We start from the raw sequence: 19,295 nt of genomic DNA, 5'->3' as shown, positions 1-19,295 counted from the left end.
AGGTCAGGAGTTTGACACCAGCCTGGCCAACATGAAACACTGTCTCTACTAAAAATACAAAAATTAGTCAGGCATGGTGATGCACACTTGTAATCCCAGCTACGTGGGAGGCTGAGGTGGGAGAATCGCTTGAACCTGGGAGGCGGAGATTACAGTGAACCAAGATCACGCCACTGTACTCCAGCCTGGGTGACAGAGCAAGACTAGGTCTCAAAAAAAAAAAAAAAACCACACACACACAAAAAACCAATATTCCCATTTTAATGATGAGAAAACTAAGGTTCAGAGAAGTAATTTGCCCAAGGTGACAGCTGAACATGGCAGAGGTGCAATTTGAACCCATGTCTTCACATCCCAGTGCTGTGCTCTCTAAGCTCCACTATGTGGGATGTTTTATTACCACTGGATGAGGAGACCTCCATCTAAGCTGTATTGATTCTTCCAATTGGGCTCTGTTCAGATGCCAGAGTAAAGTTGTCCTTTATCACTGTGTTGAGGCTGATAGCAAGGGCCTGCGAAGTGTCTTAGATGAGTTGACTTTGAACAAGACTAACCTAGAGTTGAAAATGGAAAGCCAGACGGAGAAGCTGAATTACCTCAGAAACAATCATGAAGAGGCGGGAACTACACAAAATGAATTTAAAGTTTCAGTATGTCAATACTTGTCAAGATATGGTGGTGGTGGCTATCATTATAAGAGACAGTCTTTTCATAAAACACAGGTAAAGTAACATAGACTGTAAGGCAAAACTTAACTCTCAGGATGACAATGAAAATCAAATAAATTACTTATATTAAAATAGTTTGTAAAAATTAAAAATATTATTCCTTTATATTGATCCTAAATATTTTCATAATAAGGTTGCCAGATAAAATACAGAACTCTCAGTTTAAATTATAATTTCAGGTAAACAATGAATAATATAACAGATATGTCCCAAATATTGCATGGAATATAGTTATACCAAAAAAAGTATTCAATGTTCATTTGAAATTCAAATTTAATTGGCATTCTGTATTTTATTTGCTAAATCTAGTAACACTATTTTGTTGTCTCCTAGAAATTTTTTTGAAACCTTAAAAAAGATTTCTAAACTCTACATTTTCAGTTTTAAATTTTTAATTTCTTTAAATAATCATATTCCAGATGCAAAATCAAGTAACCTGTGGCATTTTATTTTATTTTGGATCAGGAGATGAAGGCTGACAATGATAAGGTACCTTATGTTGAGGTAAACGTAGAAAACAAACAGCCCCAGGTGTGGACCTGACTGTCCTGCTGAACCAGACTAGAGAGTAATATGAGGCTTTGCCATAACAAAGCCACAGAAAGGCTAAGGCCTGGTTTAATGTAAGGTAAGCCTATCACCGCCAAAACAAAACAAAACAAAAAAATACCCAATATTAAGCAGAAGTCATGAAAACTAGTATAAGTATTTATATTTTTATTCCACTCTAACACCTCAGAGTAAAGAACTGATGGGCAGGCATCGGCTTCTGCTGACAATTGCCAACCGGCATGAGATTGCTGAGCTGAGGTGGACTCTCCAGACACTGGAACTGGAACTCCAGGCCCAATGGCCTCTGGTAAGAATGCTGCAACGTGAGACCCTTGAGAGAGACTGACTTGTTGAAGATGAAGAGAAAACCAAGAGCCTCCAGTCCAGTTGTTGAAGAGCAACCACGAGCCAACACCAAGGAGACAAGGAAGAAGAAGTCCTTCTCTCAACCGATGACCGCAAGCACAAAGAAGAGTCCCAAGATAGCGAAGAAAGGAAAATAACTCAAGGGAGAGCCAGGAAGAAAAATGCTCCACAAAAATCCATGGCTTTAAGAATACTTGAGGAAGGGAGCAGGCCAACACCCTCTGGCCACAGTGACCAGCTGAATGAGGAACTCTAACAGAATGAGCTGCAGTTGGAGCAACAGAGGGCACATAGCTGGAACAACAGAGCGAGGGGACACAGCCGGAGCAACAGAGTGGGAGGATGCCAACCATTTCAACTCTCTCCCTGAGCAGCGAGTAATTTCAGGGCAAGCCCAGAGACTAGGATCCATCTGAGAAGTCTTCAGAGGTCTGACCCAGAGAACTCAACAACAGGATACGTCCCATGGTGATGAAAATAAAATGAATCTGTTGTAAAAGGAAAAAAAAAAAAAATTATGTGTTGCTTTGAAATCCAATGGTATATTCACACGTGACATGTCTGGTCACAGATGTCTCAAAACATTTTGTGTCTCCACAGTATAATTAGTTTGCCCTGTAAAATTTAAAGGCAATTCTTTAATTTTAAACTATAGAGGAACAGTAAATTAGGATAAGAGAGAAAGACACAATACCAGGAGTAAATATACTTACATGGTTTCTTCACAATTACAAATTAAGTTCTATGTGGTACTAGTTTATGCCATTCTGCACTCTTCTTCTACAATGTAATTTTTGATGAATCATCTTTTTACTTTTATTTTCCATTCCTTTCCTCTTTTAAATTTTTTAAAAATTTTATGGATACACAGTAGTTATACATATATATGGGGTACATGTGATATTTTGATACAAGCATACAATGTGTAATGATCAAATCAGGATAATGGGGATATTCATCATCTCAAACACTTATTTCTTTGTGTTGGGAACATTCTAATTTCACTCTAGTTATTTAAAATATATAGTGAATTTCTGTCAACTATAGTCACTCTATTGTGCTACTGAACACTAGATCTTATTCCTTCTAATTGTAAGTTTGTACCCATCAACCAACCCTCTTTATCCCCTACTTTCTCTCCCTCACCTCCCTACTATCCTCCTAGCCTCTCTGGTAACCATTATACTCCTCTTTATCTCGATGAGATCAATTTTTTTAGCTCCCACATATGAGTGAGAACATGTAATACTTGTCTTCTTTTTAATCTAGTTTGACAGAAACTGAAAGTAACTACTGTTACAATATGTTACCCCAATATAGCTTGTGGGGTCTTCATCCTTGGAGAGTTTTGAGATGGAAGGAAGGAAGCAGGGGAGGGAGGGAAGCAGGAAATTCTAACTAGACCAAATTTAGCATTTATATTCCAGATGCCAAGAAAAAAAAATAATGCAACATCTTATAGCTCTGCAAATATGCACTCATTTATATCTAAGCATTAGACTAGAAAATTCTAACTAGCTCTACATTTCAACCAAAATTATCAATATGGAAAATATTTGGAGAGACACCAAAAAGTTTAATAGCTTTTGAATGTATATAAGTTGGAAACTTTCAAAGCAACAGAACCCCTCCATGTCATAGTTTACTACTAAATTAATTCACATACACACCTTGTGTTCACCGTTGTATTCCTCACGACTTAAGTTAAAAACCTGATGAAAAGTGGTTAATCTCCATAATGGGTGTTAGCTCCATCTGAAAAAGCCAGCATTATAAAAGGATTAATGCTTCAATTATGCATGGTGGCTAATTGCTGTGATTTGTTATTTTAATGACTGGTCTGCCAAAGAGTTAGGAACCTTCATTAACCCATGCCAGACGGACCCTCAGGAAGTTAGTGCAGAGTCTCTCCTGGGAACAGACAAGGCCTACAAGTCTGATCTCTTCCAGGGCAGGATATCTTGCCTCATTAGTTCTTTTTCTTTTCAAATTAGTCTATTTTTTTCATCACAGAAGTATGATAAGGAAGGCTTGTCTAGTCTGAAAAAGAAACTAAAATCCCTTATGTTCTTGTTAATTTTCCAAGTCACATAACTGAAAAATACAATTTTAGCTCATTTCAAAAGAGTTTTAGGAGTTACTCAGTTTAAGCCAGCAACAGTGTGTTTAAAAAAAGAAAAAAGTTAATCATTGTGTTTTTAAAAAGCTCTGAAGATAGGTCTGTGTTCAAATCCCACCAAAGTCCCTTTATTGAATCGTTTTGGGCATGCTAAATTTTAACTAATTTCTTTTCTTTTTTGAGGGGTTTGTGGGAAACAGGGTCTCACTCTGTCACCCAGGCTGGAGTGCAGTGGTGCAATCACAGCTCACTGCAGCCTTGACCTTTTGGGCTCAGGTGATCCTCTCACCTCACCCTCTTGAGTAGCTGGGCCCACAGGCATGTGCCATCACACCAGGCTCTGTGTGTGTGTGTGTGTGTGTGTGTGTGTGTGTGTGTGTGTGTGTGCGTGCATGTGTTTTGTAGAGACGGGGTTTTGCCATGTTGCCCAGGCTGGTCTCAAACTCCTAGGCTCATGCGATCCTCCTGCCTTGGCCTCCCAAAGTGATGGAACTACAGGCGTGAGCCACTGCGCCTGGCCAACTAATTTTAGTTAAAATAAAATTTCTGGCCAAGGGTGGTGGCTCACGTCTGTAATCCCAGCACTTTGGAAGGCTGAGGCAGGTGGATCACCTCAGGTCAGGAGTTCGAGACCAGCCTGACCAACATGAAGAAACCTCGTCTCTACTAAAAATACAAAATTATTAGGCATGGTGGCACATGCCTGTGATCCCAGCTACTCGGGAGGCTGAGGCAGAAGAATCGCTTGAACCTGGGAGGCTGAGGTTGTGGTGAGCCAAGATTGCATCTCTGCACTCCAGCCTGGGCAACAAGAACAAAACTCCATCTCAAAATAAATAAAATAAAATAAAATTTCCCTCATAAAGTTGCCAACAGGATTTGATGAGACAAAAATGCAAGTAAAATTTAGAACAGGTCTTGGAACATAAAAAAGTCTCATCAAGCTCTATAAACTCTATCTTAGGACTGACTTTGCAAATGTTATTTGCATATTTGTTTAATGGGTTTAATACAAGAAATCAAAAGTTCTTTGGAGATTATCAGTCGTCAGCCTTGTGAAAGAAGCCACAGAATGGTTGTGGTACATTTTCTCTGTTACTATTGTGTGTTACATTTAAATAATTATTTTCTCTGCTACTATTGTGTGTTACATTTAAATAATTATTTAAATCTATTCCTCTACCATTCTTACAACCCCCTTACCAAAAAAAAAAAGTGATTCAAAGACAGAGGGTCCATTTATTATGAAATTGACTAGTTGTCTGAGTCCATAAGGTCAAGTATTTTTTAAAAACCTTTAAAATTAGGAAATTAATTTGATTCCTTAAGACTTTTTCCTTTAAATTTAAGCATGTTACATATACTGACTTAAAATCACTAGAGTGGGGGATTAAATGCTTTCACTGTAAACCTTAACCTCTGTATGTATCATTTCTAATCCAAAACTTTCTCTACTCTATTTAGATCTGTCCAGACTCTCTAAGTAAAAATTATGAAGTTATACCCAATTATAATGTTATTTTCTCTCATATCCAGCCATCCTTGAAATGACCAATTGGACAAGCAACCACAGCTGGACCTAAAGGAATTTTCTTAGATTTATGAGGGGGAGAAAACAGCCACTGAATTTTGGACAATGTTCAGTTTCAATATTTTAAAATGGGTCTGTAGAGAATTGTTTGGTACTTTCGGCTTCACTATTTTTTATGAAAACTAAAAGGGATATTACATTTCTATTTTATGTTATATGTTAATTAATTATCCTACTAATGCGCTAACTCATAGTGAGCAATTGTCTTTTACAAAATGAAATTAATTTACCTGAAAAGAAATCCCATGACATACTAATGAAATTTAAAAGCTAAGTTATATTATATTTAATCCTTAAATTACAACATACTCATAGGCTACCTAGCCAGAAACCCAACTAGAATTGTCAATTCTCCTAATATAAAAAACATTCAAAATTTTTAACTTTTTATGGGTCCATGGTAACTGTATTATTCAGAAGGAACAAGAGATATTTCAATACAGGCAACAATGCATAATAATCACACCCAGGTAAACGTGGTACCCATTACCTCAAGCATTTATCATTTCTTTGTGTTACAAATATTCCAATAATATTTTTTTAATTTAAAATGTACAATAAATTATTGTGACTATAATCACCCTGTTGTGCTATCAAATACTAGATTATATTTGTTCTATCTAATTATATTTTTGTACCCATTAACCATCCCCACTTCCCAGCCCCCTCACCCCACACTACCCTTCCCAGCCTCTGGTAACCATTTTTCTACTCTCTATCTCTATGAGTTCAATTGTTCTCATTTTTAGCTCCCACAAATGAGAACATGAGAAGTTTATCTTTCTATGCCTGGTTTATCTCACTTAACATAATGTCCTCCAGGTCCAGTCAAGTTGTTGCAATAACAGGATCTCATTCTTTTTTATGGCTGAATAGTACTCCATTGAGCATATGTACCACGTTTTCTTTATCAACCTGTCTGTTGATGTACACTTAGGTTGTTTCCACATCTTGGCTATTGTGAACACAATTGCAAAAAAAAAATGAGGGTGCAGATATCTCACTGATATACTGATTTCCATGATTTTGGGTATATATCTAGCAGTGGGACTGCTGGATCATACAGTAGTTCTATTATTAGCTTTTTGAGGAACCTCCATACTGTTCTCCATAGTGGCTGTACTAATTTACATTCCCAAGGACAGTGAACGAGGGGGTTCCCTTTTCTCCACATCCTCACTAGCATTCATTATTGCCTCTCTTTTGGATAAAAGCCATTTTAAGCGGGGTGAGTTGTACAACAAATTACTGTGACTGTAATAATTTACATTATTCATTCAACTGCAGTGAGAATCACATTCTCATTGCACAGTTTTGAGTCATTTCTCTGATGATCAATGATGTTGAGCCCCTTTTTACATACCTGTTTGCCATTATATGTTTTCTTATTTTTTTTTTTTGAGGTCACTCTGTTGCCCAGGCTGGAGTGCAGTGGCAGGAACATGGCTCACCTCAGCCTCCCAAGTAGCTGGGACTACAGACACATGCCATCACACCCAGCTAATTTATTTTTATTTTTTGTAGAGATGGGGTCTCCCTACGTTACCCAGGCTGGTCTTGAATTCCTAGGCTCAAGTAGTCCTCCCATCCCAGTCTCCCTAAGTGCTGGGATTAGAGGTGTGAGCCACCATGCCTAGCCTGTATGTCTTTTGAGATTTGTATGTCTATTCAGATCTTTTGCCCATTTTTTTTATCAGATTATTAGATTTTCTTTCCTATTGAGTTGTTTGAGCTCCTTATATATTCTGGTTATTAACCCTCTGTCAGATGGATAGTTTGCAAATATTTTCTCTCATTCCGTGGGCTGTCTCTTTACTTTGTTGATTGTTTCCTTTGCTGTGCAGAAGCTTTTTAATTTGATGTGATGTATGAAAAAAATTCAAATTTTAGAATAAAACTACAGATATATTTTAGCAGGTTACTAGTATCAAGATAATCTCAACAGATCCAAGACAAAAAAAAAGTGACCTTTAATGAAGAGGAAAAAGTGAGGGCCAAAATGTTTTCTTAATATATATAGTGTATTTCCATTCTAAGGAATATATCTTTATATACTTTAAGGTATTTTAAAATTCCTATGCAGAATCTTGGTTTTCTTATCATTCTTACATATTCTTACATCAAAAAGTATCATAATTTCCTTTAAAGCAAAATTAAATTAGTTGTCTTCAACCAGCCTTCATTTAAATTTTTAACTTGCACTATTGCCAAAACATACAGGCCAAGAGTTTGGAGAAAAAAATAAAGGCAAAGAAAGTGGGGAAAGGCACTGAGGCAATACGAAAACATTCAGAGAACAATGAGTACTGGGTGCAGCAAGAACAGAGGCACCCTCCCTTCTCTAAAGGAACTTAAATGTCGTATTGCATTGGAAACACTAATAAAGAGGCCAGAATATTATAACAAATTATAAAACACCAAGTTGTTCAACATAGGAAATGAGAAGAAAGAGACAGCCGTGAACTACAGACTAACGGTGGGAAGTCTCATGAAGGAGATGGCATTTAAGTCAGAGTCTGGAGTTGAGGTAGAATAACTTGAATAAACAGCAAAGTAGAAGATGGGCATTCTAAGCCAAGAGCAACAAACACAAGCCTTAAAATGGAACAAAGCATAGTATCTTAGCCAAGAGTAGAAAGGCCTGCTTAAAGGATTAAGTAATTAAAGGATTCTTAAAGGAGATGCTAACACACATTTTTTCACTGAATCATGGATTATTATCCATATTTTAATATTTAACATTACTATCCATATTTTATAGGGTAGTAAACTGAGACACGGAAAGCTGAGTATCTTGCCCAGGGCCACATAATTACTTTATGAAGAGAATGTAGCACTCCTTCCACTCCCCACCCTGACTCACCGCAGGGAGCATGAGGTTGGACAGACAGAGTCGGGCAAGGTTATGGAGAAGACTTAATCCATCCACAAGAGGTCCGAGTATGTTGATGAAGTGATGACAGTACTGTTTCAAGAACATCAACCCTGCCGCAGTGAACAGATCTTAATTGACAGTGCTGAGTCAAGAAAACCACTTCAGAAGCTGGTGAAGTAATCTTCGAGAAAAGTGGTGAAAGCTCAGATTAGGGCAGTTACAGTGGGGCTACACAGAAAGAAACGAATACATTAGCTATGACAAAGAGAAGGTGACAAAATTAGTGCCTTGGTGGATGTAGGAGATAAAGAAATGAAGTTTAAAGTGAAAGGAAGTGTCACTCAAAGAAAAACAGATGGCATGGTTTATCACAAAAGTTATCAAGCTGAACACCTTTTCCCCACCCTACTTTCCTCTCCAGCCATTTTCTCCTCCCTCACAAGCCATTTTCTAACTTCTCACCCTATCCTTTCATTCATTCCTATTTTGAAGGCATCCTGTGGGTTGGACAGTGGGTTAACCTATGAGAAACAGAGATCACAAAACAGTAATAGCAACAAAAATATATTCATTAAGTGCTTATTCTATGCATGCAAATCATTGTTCTAAACGCTTTATATTTATTAACTCATTTGACTCCTGCTACAACTCCACAGAGTATGAAAAATTATAATCCCTACTTTAGAGAGGAGGACATTGAGATGAAACCTCACAGTAAATGGGGGAGCCTGGATTGTAACCCCGGCAGTCTGACCCCAGAGCCCACCCACTTACCCTGCTACACTACCCTCAAAACTCAAAAGCCTTCAAGCAGTTTCCATATTTTTGTGGCTTCCATCACAGTACAGTCCCAGAAGTTTCAGAAAAATTGATATAGGAGTGTTTGTAGATTTTAAATCCCTGAATTTTAGAAGTTTACCAATGACAAGACATGAACTTTATCAATTGATATCTTAGTTGTCCAACAATTAGCTATCTGAGAAGAGGGTACCAAATCTATCAAATAATGATACAATTTTCCACTTTGTTTTGACTCTGTGGGTAGTAATCACAAAAGTATATTAAGCAATTTGCACAGTCACAGAACAGTAAAAAGAAAATGCCTGACTCTTAAACTTTGTGATAAACAACAGAAAATTCTAAATATTTAGATCAACCTTGCCATCTTGAGATATAACCTGCATTACCAGATTTGTCCTTCTGCAACTACCTAAACTATGCATTATATCTCAATTATATGTATTATATCTCAATCAGAAAAAGAAACTTGCAAATAGAATTTTCAGCTAGAAACTTCAAAAGCGGATTTTACTTGAAGCAAAATAAGGAAGAAATAAAAAGGATCCAAATCCCAACAGTGAGACAAGTCAAACTGATAACAAACTTGAATCCACAACATGCTTCTAGAGCTCCGGCCAAATTAACCCCATGCGAATAGCAACTATATCCGTCTTAACCACGACTCAAAGTTCAGAAGCAATTAAAGAAGAAATTGATAAACTGGACAACATGAAAATAAAATACCATAAGCAAAGTCATCAATTCCAATATTGGGTATGCATCATGAATTGCCCCACCACTACTCAATTAAAATTGTCCTCTGGAAGGATGCCAATGGTTCCAAATTACTTTCCTCAATCCATCTTTTCATTGACCTCTCGGATGATCACCTCACCCACGTTCTCTTCTCCCTTGGCTTCACTGATCCTCTTTCCCCCTTTCCCTGGTCCTAGATGTCCTTCTTTTCAGGATTATTCTCTAGCTCTACTTCTTCTTCCCAGCCCCTAAAGTGACTCCAAAAGTTCAGAATTAGACCTTCTGTACATTTCTCTCTAAATTCCTTCCCTTAGGGATCCTAACTACCCCCAAAATCTGCTATTCTGAATCTCTCTCCTTAACAGCAGTCCCATAATTGCTTAAAGACATGTTTACATGAATATCCTGGTATTACCTCAAATTCACGTCTTAAACCAAAACTCATCCTCAATCCCGAACTTTACTTCAATATTCTTTCATTGTGCACTCACACCACACACACACACACACACACACACACACATTCACTAGACTGTTAGACAACCTCTCTGTAATTCCTCGGAACCCTGAACATTGCTCAAATATAGCCCAGATTACCCTATATTATAATCTCTGATTCGTGGGTATGTTTGTTTGCCTCTCCAAGTAGATTGTAAACTCCTTGAAGGGTAGGAGCTGTATCTTGGTCACCTATGCCTTCCCCAGGCCATATTGCAGGTGCTCAATAAAACCTGCTGAAGGTATGAATAAATTAACATATACGGATGATCTACTCCAGCCAAACTGGTCACTCAGTGTCTCCACTTGCTTGGCATTTTCACAGTCCTGACTTCCCAGAAGTCTTCTCTCTGCTGTTGCACACATGAAAAGTCCTACTCATCCTTACAGGACTCAGCTTAAATTTCAACTGCACCATGAAACTTTGTCAATTGGCCCCATTCCAACATGACCCCTTGCTCATTAGTCTTAAGAATGCCAGTCTGGTGTCATGAAAACTAGCACCTTTGTAACTGTATCTCTTGATTCAAAACCAGGCTGTGTGTCATCACACAGACACTGCTGATATATAAATAAACAAATACATACATAATCTGGCAAATTTCTAAAACTTTTTAAGGTTTAGGTTTTTTAGCTATTAAACGAGATAATAATACCTATCTTAGAGAACCTAGGGCAGGATTAAAGAAAAGTAAACCATCTAGATCATAGAGATATTCCGGAAATGTTAACTCCTTCCCCCTACACATCCAAGCCCCACCATCATTTTCCATTTATATAGCATACAGTGCTTAAACTGATGGTATATGTCATGTCTCCTCAATTAGACTGTAACTACTGGCAAGATCCATAAGGACGGGAGGTGTATCTCATTCATTTTTCTATATTTTAAATACCTACCAATGCACTTTACATAGAGACACAATAAAAATTGAGCACAATGAAAATACAGTTACAGTGGATTATAGCAATCAAGTGTAAATGGTGCCAAGACTAGAATCATAAATGTTCATCCAATTTAGCTGTAGAATTATTATGTGGCATCTCTTAATTTTACTCATGCCAAAGGCTGATTTCAACAAATGACAGTGTGAATAAAGACAAATCAATTTCTACAGTATACAAGTTAATAAGTAATCTTTGGTAATAACAGTAAAGGTAGCTTAAATTAAATGTTATAGTATTAGAAGGCCCTCCATACCTGTATTTGTTCTTATGTACTTTTATGCAAAGATTCCCTTTCATATATTCTTTGGTTTAATATGATTGTAACAGAGCTCTCTTCATACCACTTGTTAATTAACTGAAAGGAGACTGGGATTTTTATATTTTCCACTGGGGGGAGAAATTATAGGCTAATACTAAAACAAAATTGGTAATACTAAGATCCAAAACTTGTGCTAATTACAGGTAAAATCAATCAAAATATCTTTTTAATTAAAATGTTTCTTTCCAAAAAGATTTCATTAATATCAAGGTTTCAACATGTTCTCTGAAGTTATTGGAGTTTTTTCTTTTCCTATCCTGATTTATCATAGCCTTCTTTAACTGTAGGTTATCTTCATCAAGAATCAATTCCCATGGTTGGGTTTCAGTTTTTCTTTTAACTACTGCCCCATTTGCATGTGCTAACAAGTTGGAAGAGTTGCAATCTGCTGGGTAGTAACCTCCACTTTAACAATCAACATTTGATTAATGCTCCCAACCACACTCCCTTCCCTACAGAAACTATTTCTGTAGTTTTCATAAACCAAAATGTGCAGCAATAAACTTAATTTGAAAAAACAATTACTAAAGGTAGAGTGTGTGCCAAATCATTACCCTTTGAATATTTTCATGATTCTAAGTTCTTTTTGTTTTGCTCTTTTTCCCCATTTGGAGAAGTTTACGGTGAGAATTAGAGTCATTCATCTCCATTAGACCAAATCCACTGGAGCAGATAATATATATACACATTGGTAAAGTGGAAAAGAACCAAGGAGTTAAAAGACCAAGCTTCTAATTGCAGTTCAACCACCTGTTACATATCTTCAGGAAAAAATCACAACCTCTCAACTTCAACTTCCTCTTCTATAAATTAGAAATAACAATAACCACACCTGTAACCCCAGCACTTTGGGAGGCCAAGGCAGGCAGATCAAGAGGTCAGGAGATTGAGACCATCCTGGCTAACATGATGAAACCCTGTCTCTACCAAAAAGACAAAAAATTAGCCAGGTATGGTGGCACACACCTGTAGCCCCAGCTACTCGGGAGGCTGAGGCAGGAGAATGGCGTGAACCCGGGAGGTGGAGCTTGCAGTGAGCCGAGATGGCGCCACTGCACTCCAGCCTGGGCGACAGAGCAAGCCTCCGTCTAAAAAAAAAAAAAGAAAGAAAGAAAGAAAGAAAGAAAAGAAATAATAATAACCACCATTCCTATCTCAACAGCTTGTTCTAGAAATTTTTAAAGCACAGTATCACAAACAGCACTACATAATTGTAAAACATGTATGAATATATACATCCAAACAACAGCAATGTCATAGCCTATGGGTAGATATAATCTTATACAATGTACCAAAATCCCAATTTACTTCACTAGACAAACTGTTATACCAAATTCTGTACACAGTATATCCAAGAAAATGTGTTGTTTTTATTGAGAAACTGAACCTAGCTTGGGAACACATGTGCACAGTCTAGTTCATAATATTTGGTGCAAGTATCATTCTCTAATATAGATTTACATTTTTGCAAGCAAATTTTTACTTGCAATCATAACATATCCAAATTTTCCCTTTTTACTCAATCAGAACTTAGTGTAAAGTACTACAAGTTAGTTCTTCGGATTTCATGCTAAGAAAATAATGCAGATTTTCTGCATTATTATGGTCTTCACAGAAACCTTAACTATGATGAATTTAAAAGTGCAAAATAATCCAGGATAACTTTATGATTTCAGATTTTTTAATGTTAAAAATAATGCCATCATTAATTAGAAAATTCTAAAATCATTACTTCCACTTTCTTAGGCAAAATATCAATATACTCTCATTTGCCAAATAAATTAAAAGATCTCCTACAAACACAATCTCCTAAATTGTGGTTTTATGGCTTTAATGTTTTATGTGTGGCAACTATTGATGCTAGTTAAATTTTTAGAAACTTTTTCTTTTTGATTCCCTACAGTTGTCTACAAGAACCTTATTGTAGCATGATCCTGCCAGACTTTATGCTATTTGTTGCTCCAATTAAAACTGTTTAAAACATGAATTTGAAAAATCTTATTTTAACTATAATTTTGTAGCTGAAACTTTTTTTTCTAAACTTTGCAAACATTCTATGCAACCTGAATTAGTGCTGAGAAAAATGGATCTTAACGGTTGCTCAATGTTCTTCAACAGGTGAAAAGCATAATAAAACATGCTCATCTGAACTCCACCCATTTTCAATTTCAACATAGCAAACCTCCTGTTTATTCTTAGGGCAAATTCAAAATTGTACATATTAGGATTGGTTATTACTGAAGATAATTTATGCAATCATAAGCCAAAGATGCTAAGTTGGCAAAAAGAAAACAATGTAAGTAAGCAAACTCTAACACATGTGGACACACCCTCTCAGTATATAAAGGCTTGTCACTGTCCTTGGTAGCAGGCACTCCCTGGGCTAAACAGCATCACCATGTCTGTTCGATACAGCTCAAGCAAGCACTACTCTTCCTCCCGCAGTGGAGGAGGAGGAGGAGGAGGAGGATGTGGAGGAGGAGGAGGAGTGTCATCCCTAAGAATTTCTAGCAGCAAAGGCTCCCTTGGTGGAGGATTTAGCTCAGGGGGGTTCAGTGGTGGCTCTTTTAGCCGTGGGAGCTCTGGTGGGGGCTGCTTTGGGGGCTCATCAGGTGGCTATGGAGGATTAGGAGGTTTTGGTGGAGGTAGCTTTCGTGGAAGCTATGGAAGTAGCAGCTTTGGTGGGAGTTATGGAGGCATCTTTGGAGGGGGCAGTTTCGGAGGTGGCAGCTTTGGTGGGGGCAGCTTTGGTGGAGGCGGCTTTGGTGGAGGCGGCTTTGGAGGAGGCTTTGGTGGTGGATTTGGAGGAGATGGTGGCCTTCTCTCTGGAAATGAAAAAGTAACCATGCAGAATCTGAATGACCGCCTGGCTTCCTACTTGGACAAAGTTCGGGCTCTGGAAGAATCAAACTATGAGCTGGAAGGCAAAATCAAGGAGTGGTATGAAAAGCATGGCAACTCACATCAGGGGGAGCCTCGTGACTACAGCAAATACTACAAAACCATCGATGACCTTAAAAATCAGGTAAGAGGTATTTTTAAATCCAGCTTTAAGTATCTTGTCCATGTAATCCAGACAGATGAATCTTAAATTAAGCACAATGTGGCTGTTCACTATGCTTACCCATGTTACTTTCTTCCTTCAAAAATAACCCAGTCTCATCAAAGATAAACATCTGTGAAACTATGGTCATGGCAATCTTCATCCAGCAAGTGTGCTACTTGTCTTAAGAGGATGGGAGATTTACTAAGCACTTTTGAGGTTTTAATGAGCATACAATGAGTCCACAGTTAAAATATGCTAGGCTATTTACAAATGTAGAAACTGAAAAAAAAAATCATGATATGAATCAGAACAAAATGTTATTCAGACTGATAACAAGCCATATTCAGTACCAACATGGCAAGAAAAATAAATTTTCCAGTATGAAAATGGGACACTGCTTGCCTCTAAGGAATTTCTGAATTGTACCTATTGTGTACCAGTTCAGAGTGTATTTATTTATTAGTATTTATCATGAGTTAAACAAATGCAGGTGTGAGTCAGCCAAAGCATGGCTGAAATACATGGAAATCACATAGTCTAAAAGAGGAGGGCACACTTACAGGAATACATCTATATAATTCCAGTTAGTTTTCAGAAAGGAATAATTCGTGTACAGAAATACAAGACTGGAGAAATTCCAAGAGAACAAATAATTCAAAGTTAAGTATATGGGTAAGCCTGCAATATTTCATATTTAAAATAAAAAATTTTCCCAAGATTTTGTAAGAGAACAACATAAAAGTGCAGAGTGCATCTATGTCACTACAAAAGCCATATCTGCATCTGACCTCTTCTCAAATAACTGTGCCTCTCCCTCCAGATTCTCAACCTAACAACTGATAATGCCAACATCCTGCTTCAGATCGACAATGCCAGGCTGGCAGCTGATGACTTCAGGCTGAAGTAAGTTAAGTGATCGTTGTATAATACTATCACAACGAATACATCAGTGGTTTTTAACAATGACTTGGGATGCCCTCAATAACATTTACATTTTTCTGAATTCACCCAAAGTTAAATAGTATTGGAGTTATCTGAGAAATTTTCCATGTCAGTGTTACCTTTTTGGCAATATTAAAGGAAGAAAATGCATTTTAAAGTAACTGCTAAGGTTTTTTCCATTAAACCACTATTACTTCTAAGAGAACTGTACATGACAAATATTGCCATTACATGAGATCAACTATGTAGCTGCTTTTTAAATAGTCTCTGCCCAGATACATCTCCCCTATATAAGTTATAACCAGTATTGATATCATGCTTGTTTCAGGTATGAGAATGAGGTAGCTCTGCGCCAGAGCGTGGAGGCTGACATCAACGGCCTGCGTAGGGTGCTGGATGAGCTGACCCTGACCAAGGCTGACCTGGAGATGCAAATTGAGAGCCTGACTGAAGAGCTGGCCTATCTGAAGAAGAACCACGAGGAGGTGACACAAAAGTTATACTTTTCCCAGCCAAAAGAGAGTTCATTATGGTCCTCGTGTAGCCAATAAATCTTTCTGTTCCTCAAACAGGAAATGAAAGACCTTCGAAATGTGTCCACTGGTGATGTGAATGTGGAAATGAATGCTGCCCCGGGTGTTGATCTGACTCAACTTCTGAATAACATGAGAAGCCAATATGAACAACTTGCTGAACAAAACCGCAAAGATGCTGAAGCCTGGTTCAATGAAAAGGTAAAGTAATCTTCCTTATAGTGAAACTCATGGAGGTTTTATCATTTCAGAATTTCCTCACCCTTTTCCTTGTTTTTAATACTCTAGAGCAAGGAACTGACTACAGAAATTGATAATAACATTGAACAGATATCCAGCTATAAATCTGAGATTACTGAATTGAGACGTAATGTACAAGCTCTGGAGATAGAACTACAGTCCCAACTGGCCTTGGTATGTTAACTCTCATGAAATGACTTCAACTTTATCATACAAAGTTTCATGCTCACCTAAGAATATGCAATGCAACAAAAAAATGCAGAGTTGGAGGTAAGAAAGAGAAAACAAAGTGAAGCTCATGTTAATGGAGGAAAAGTACTACTAGTGTTGATCTAAAAGTGCTGAAACTGAAATGGTGCCATTAAACATACAACAAATTCTGTTCATTTTCTTATTCTTCTATATAATGCCTTACTAAATAATCAAATAAGCGTCACCATACTCAACTGAACAAGGAAGTCACTAAGCCACAAAAAAATCCGTTTCAGAAACAATCCCTGGAAGCCTCCTTGGCAGAAACAGAAGGTCGCTACTGTGTGCAGCTCTCACAGATTCAGGCCCAGATATCCGCTCTGGAAGAACAGTTGCAACAGATTCGAGCTGAAACCGAGTGCCAGAATACTGAATACCAACAACTCCTGGATATTAAGATCCGACTGGAGAATGAAATTCAAACCTACCGCAGCCTGCTAGAAGGAGAGGGAAGGTAAATTTTAAAATGAAAAGTTATCCCAGTTTCTTTTATTCAATATTCCAGATAGCAAGGCTTATCTAAACCCCAAGAAGATGCCAGAGAATGAGAGGAAGGGAGGAGAGAGGGTAGAGTACAGAAAAAGGAGTACGCAACCGCAATCTCACTTTCTCATGAATTTGGCCCAAAATGATTCTTAAGAGTTCTGTGAACTTAACATTGTTTTCAAAGGATGGGTTTTAAAATATATACCTGGCAGGGTTTTATTTTTTCAACACGTTTTGCTTATTTTCTAAATTAACGGCAACTGGAAAGCTACCCACCGTTTTCCAACGTTAGAGATAACCGAATGTGACCTCACCCCGTTTAGTTCCGGAGGCGGCGGACGCGGCGGCGGAAGTTTCGGCGGCGGCTACGGCGGCGGAAGCTCCGGCGGCGGAAGCTCCGGCGGCGGCCACGGCGGCGGCCACGGCGGCAGTTCCGGCGGCGGCTACGGAGGCGGAAGCTCCGGCGGCGGAAGCTCCGGCGGCGGCTACGGGGGCGGAAGCTCCAGCGGCGGCCACGGCGGCAGTTCCAGCGGCGGCTACGGTGGTGGCAGTTCCGGCGGCGGCGGCGGCGGCTACGGGGGCGGCAGCTCCGGCGGCGGCAGCAGCTCCGGCGGCGGATACGGCGGCGGCAGCTCCAGCGGAGGCCACAAGTCCTCCTCTTCCGGGTCCGTGGGCGAGTCTTCATCTAAGGGACCAAGGTCAGCAGAAACTAGCTGGGGTAATCAGAATTAGTTTTAACTTCCTGTGATGGTTTTTTTGCGCTTTAAGCTCTAGAGTTGTTTTAAAAAATTAAAAATCTTAGAGACGGTTCCGTTTGCATTTGTTCACAAACTACTCTTAACACCAGCCGTGAAAAATGGCATGATCAAAATGTCATACCTTAAGCATTTTTTTGGGCTTAACAATGTAAAGTTGAAATTTCCTTCTTTTTACAATATTTGCTTGTTAATTACTAAGGATCCCTACAGACTGTTTAAAATTTTTTTTCCATCATTCACACAGATACTAACAAAACCAGAGTAATCAAGACAATTATTGAAGAGGTGGCGCCCGACGGTAGAGTTCTTTCATCTATGGTTGAATCAGAAACCAAGAAACACTACTATTAAACTGCATCAAGAGGAAAGAGTCTCCCTTCACACAGACCATTATTTACAGATGCATGGAAAACAAAGTCTCCAAGAAAACACTTCTGTCTTGATGGTCTATGGAAATAGACCTTGAAAATAAGGTGTCTACAAGGTGTTTTGTGGTTTCTGTATTTCTTCTTTTCACTTTACCAGAAAGTGTTCTTTAATGGAAAGAAAAACAACTTTCTGTTCTCATTTACTAATGAATTTCAATAAACTTTCTTACTGATGCAAACTATCCCAATTTGTCAGAATTTATCTTTACTTAAGTACATAATACTCTTTAAAATTAAAGATTAGTAACCCATAGCAGTTGAAGGTTGATGTATCCAGAAATTCGGAAGACAGAACTATTGTCATGCCTTTTCTAAGTTTTTTAATCATGTATGTTCAGACCACCGTCAGTAAATTCACTGAGTAAAGTCTGTAAATCCCCAATATTACTCTTTAAGATACACAATATGTGGAAGGCTCCCAGCTCTCTGGCTTTAAATTATTTCAATCCTGGAAATTCTGGAATATCTCAAATAAAACCCCCAAAATAATAATAATTGGAAATTTTATATTTTCTAATTACCTGACTTCTCACCTTTGCCTTTTCTTACTTTCTTCCAGTTACTATATTACTTCTTCCCAATTGTTATATAGCTTGACATATCTTCTGACACCACCCAAGTAAAATCATATCACCCCCAACAAAATTATTTGATGTCCATCAGATGAACGTGAGAAACGCTGTCAGGAAGTAGTGATGCCAGTGTAACCAAAAGGACACCACTAGGTCTCTGCCTTCCCCAACTGTGCCCAGTGATCAGGACTAAAGACCTTGTACTTTCATAGCCCAGTCACATCCCTCAGCCAATAAGAACCCAACCAACATTACTTAGTACTCTACTGGGGATCCTATGAAGGGAATAAGCTGGCGTGTCCCTTAGACTACCTTGTGTCCTCTGATGAGTTCTTGGATTACTCATGTCCACCAAGTAGCAGCTTTCCTCAGTATCCTTGATTTGAGCTCCAGATCTGAGCCCTGATCCCCATGCCATTTGTTGGCACTCCACTCTGTAGACACTACCCTCTGTACCCCAAATTGATGACAGGAGCCTTGTTTCAATGGGATGGATTTCCCTATAG

The 19,295-nt window shown here is 38.3% G+C and overlaps 1 protein-coding gene and 1 long non-coding RNA gene across 5 annotated transcripts, besides 3 other annotated features; one reads left to right on the top strand and one right to left on the bottom strand.

The window, feature by feature from the left end:
* Positions 1 to 241: 241 nt before the first annotated feature.
* KRT10-AS1 (KRT10 antisense RNA 1) lies at positions 242 to 17,371 on the bottom strand. 3 transcript variants are annotated; one of them, NR_160888.1, is made up of 3 exons: positions 17,308 to 17,371; positions 3,317 to 3,401; positions 242 to 2,134 (listed from the first exon to the last, which is right to left on the bottom strand). It is a non-coding gene; the product is annotated as a KRT10 antisense RNA 1 (long non-coding RNA). The 3 variants fall into 3 exon arrangements; NR_160887.1 differs by having other exon boundaries at positions 17,346 to 17,371; NR_160886.1 differs by having other exon boundaries at positions 17,237 to 17,331.
* Positions 8,151 to 9,350: an enhancer, noted in NCBI's record as "CDK7 strongly-dependent group 2 enhancer chr17:38983418-38984617 (GRCh37/hg19 assembly coordinates)". NCBI's record gives its function as "activates an origin of replication core promoter dependent on BRD2, BRD4, P300/CBP, MED14 and CDK7 cofactors, with strong dependence on CDK7, by STARR-seq in HCT116 cells {active_cell/tissue: HCT116}" and the evidence as "EXISTENCE:reporter gene assay evidence [ECO:0000049][PMID:35650434]".
* Positions 8,178 to 8,407: a silencer, noted in NCBI's record as "fragment chr17:38984361-38984590 (GRCh37/hg19 assembly coordinates)". NCBI's record gives its function as "represses an EF-1alpha promoter that drives an FKBP-Casp9 reporter gene in an ReSE screen in K562 erythroleukemia cells {active_cell/tissue: K562}" and the evidence as "EXISTENCE:reporter gene assay evidence [ECO:0000049][PMID:32094911]".
* On the top strand, positions 13,902 to 18,399 carry KRT10 (keratin 10). 2 transcript variants are annotated; one of them, NM_000421.5, is made up of 8 exons: positions 13,902 to 14,557; positions 15,399 to 15,481; positions 15,849 to 16,005; positions 16,093 to 16,254; positions 16,342 to 16,467; positions 16,782 to 16,999; positions 17,355 to 17,729; positions 18,034 to 18,399. In NM_000421.5, the coding sequence occupies exons 1-8, from the start codon at positions 13,931 to 13,933 to the stop codon at positions 18,038 to 18,040; spliced, it is 1,755 nt and encodes a 584-aa protein (NP_000412.4). In that variant the 5' UTR covers positions 13,902 to 13,930; the 3' UTR covers positions 18,041 to 18,399. The 2 variants fall into 2 exon arrangements, with proteins under 2 accessions (NP_000412.4, NP_001366295.1); NM_001379366.1 differs by having other exon boundaries at positions 17,355 to 17,749.
* Positions 15,662 to 16,861: an enhancer, noted in NCBI's record as "BRD4-independent group 4 enhancer chr17:38975907-38977106 (GRCh37/hg19 assembly coordinates)". NCBI's record gives its function as "activates an origin of replication core promoter dependent on BRD2, P300/CBP, MED14 and CDK7 cofactors, and independent of BRD4, by STARR-seq in HCT116 cells {active_cell/tissue: HCT116}" and the evidence as "EXISTENCE:reporter gene assay evidence [ECO:0000049][PMID:35650434]".

Source organism: Homo sapiens, chromosome 17 (assembly GCF_000001405.40).
Source record: "Homo sapiens chromosome 17, GRCh38.p14 Primary Assembly".
NCBI lineage: Eukaryota > Metazoa > Chordata > Mammalia > Primates > Hominidae > Homo > Homo sapiens.
Note: the sequence above shows the minus strand (reverse complement) of the source record. Positions and strands in the feature narration are given on the sequence as shown.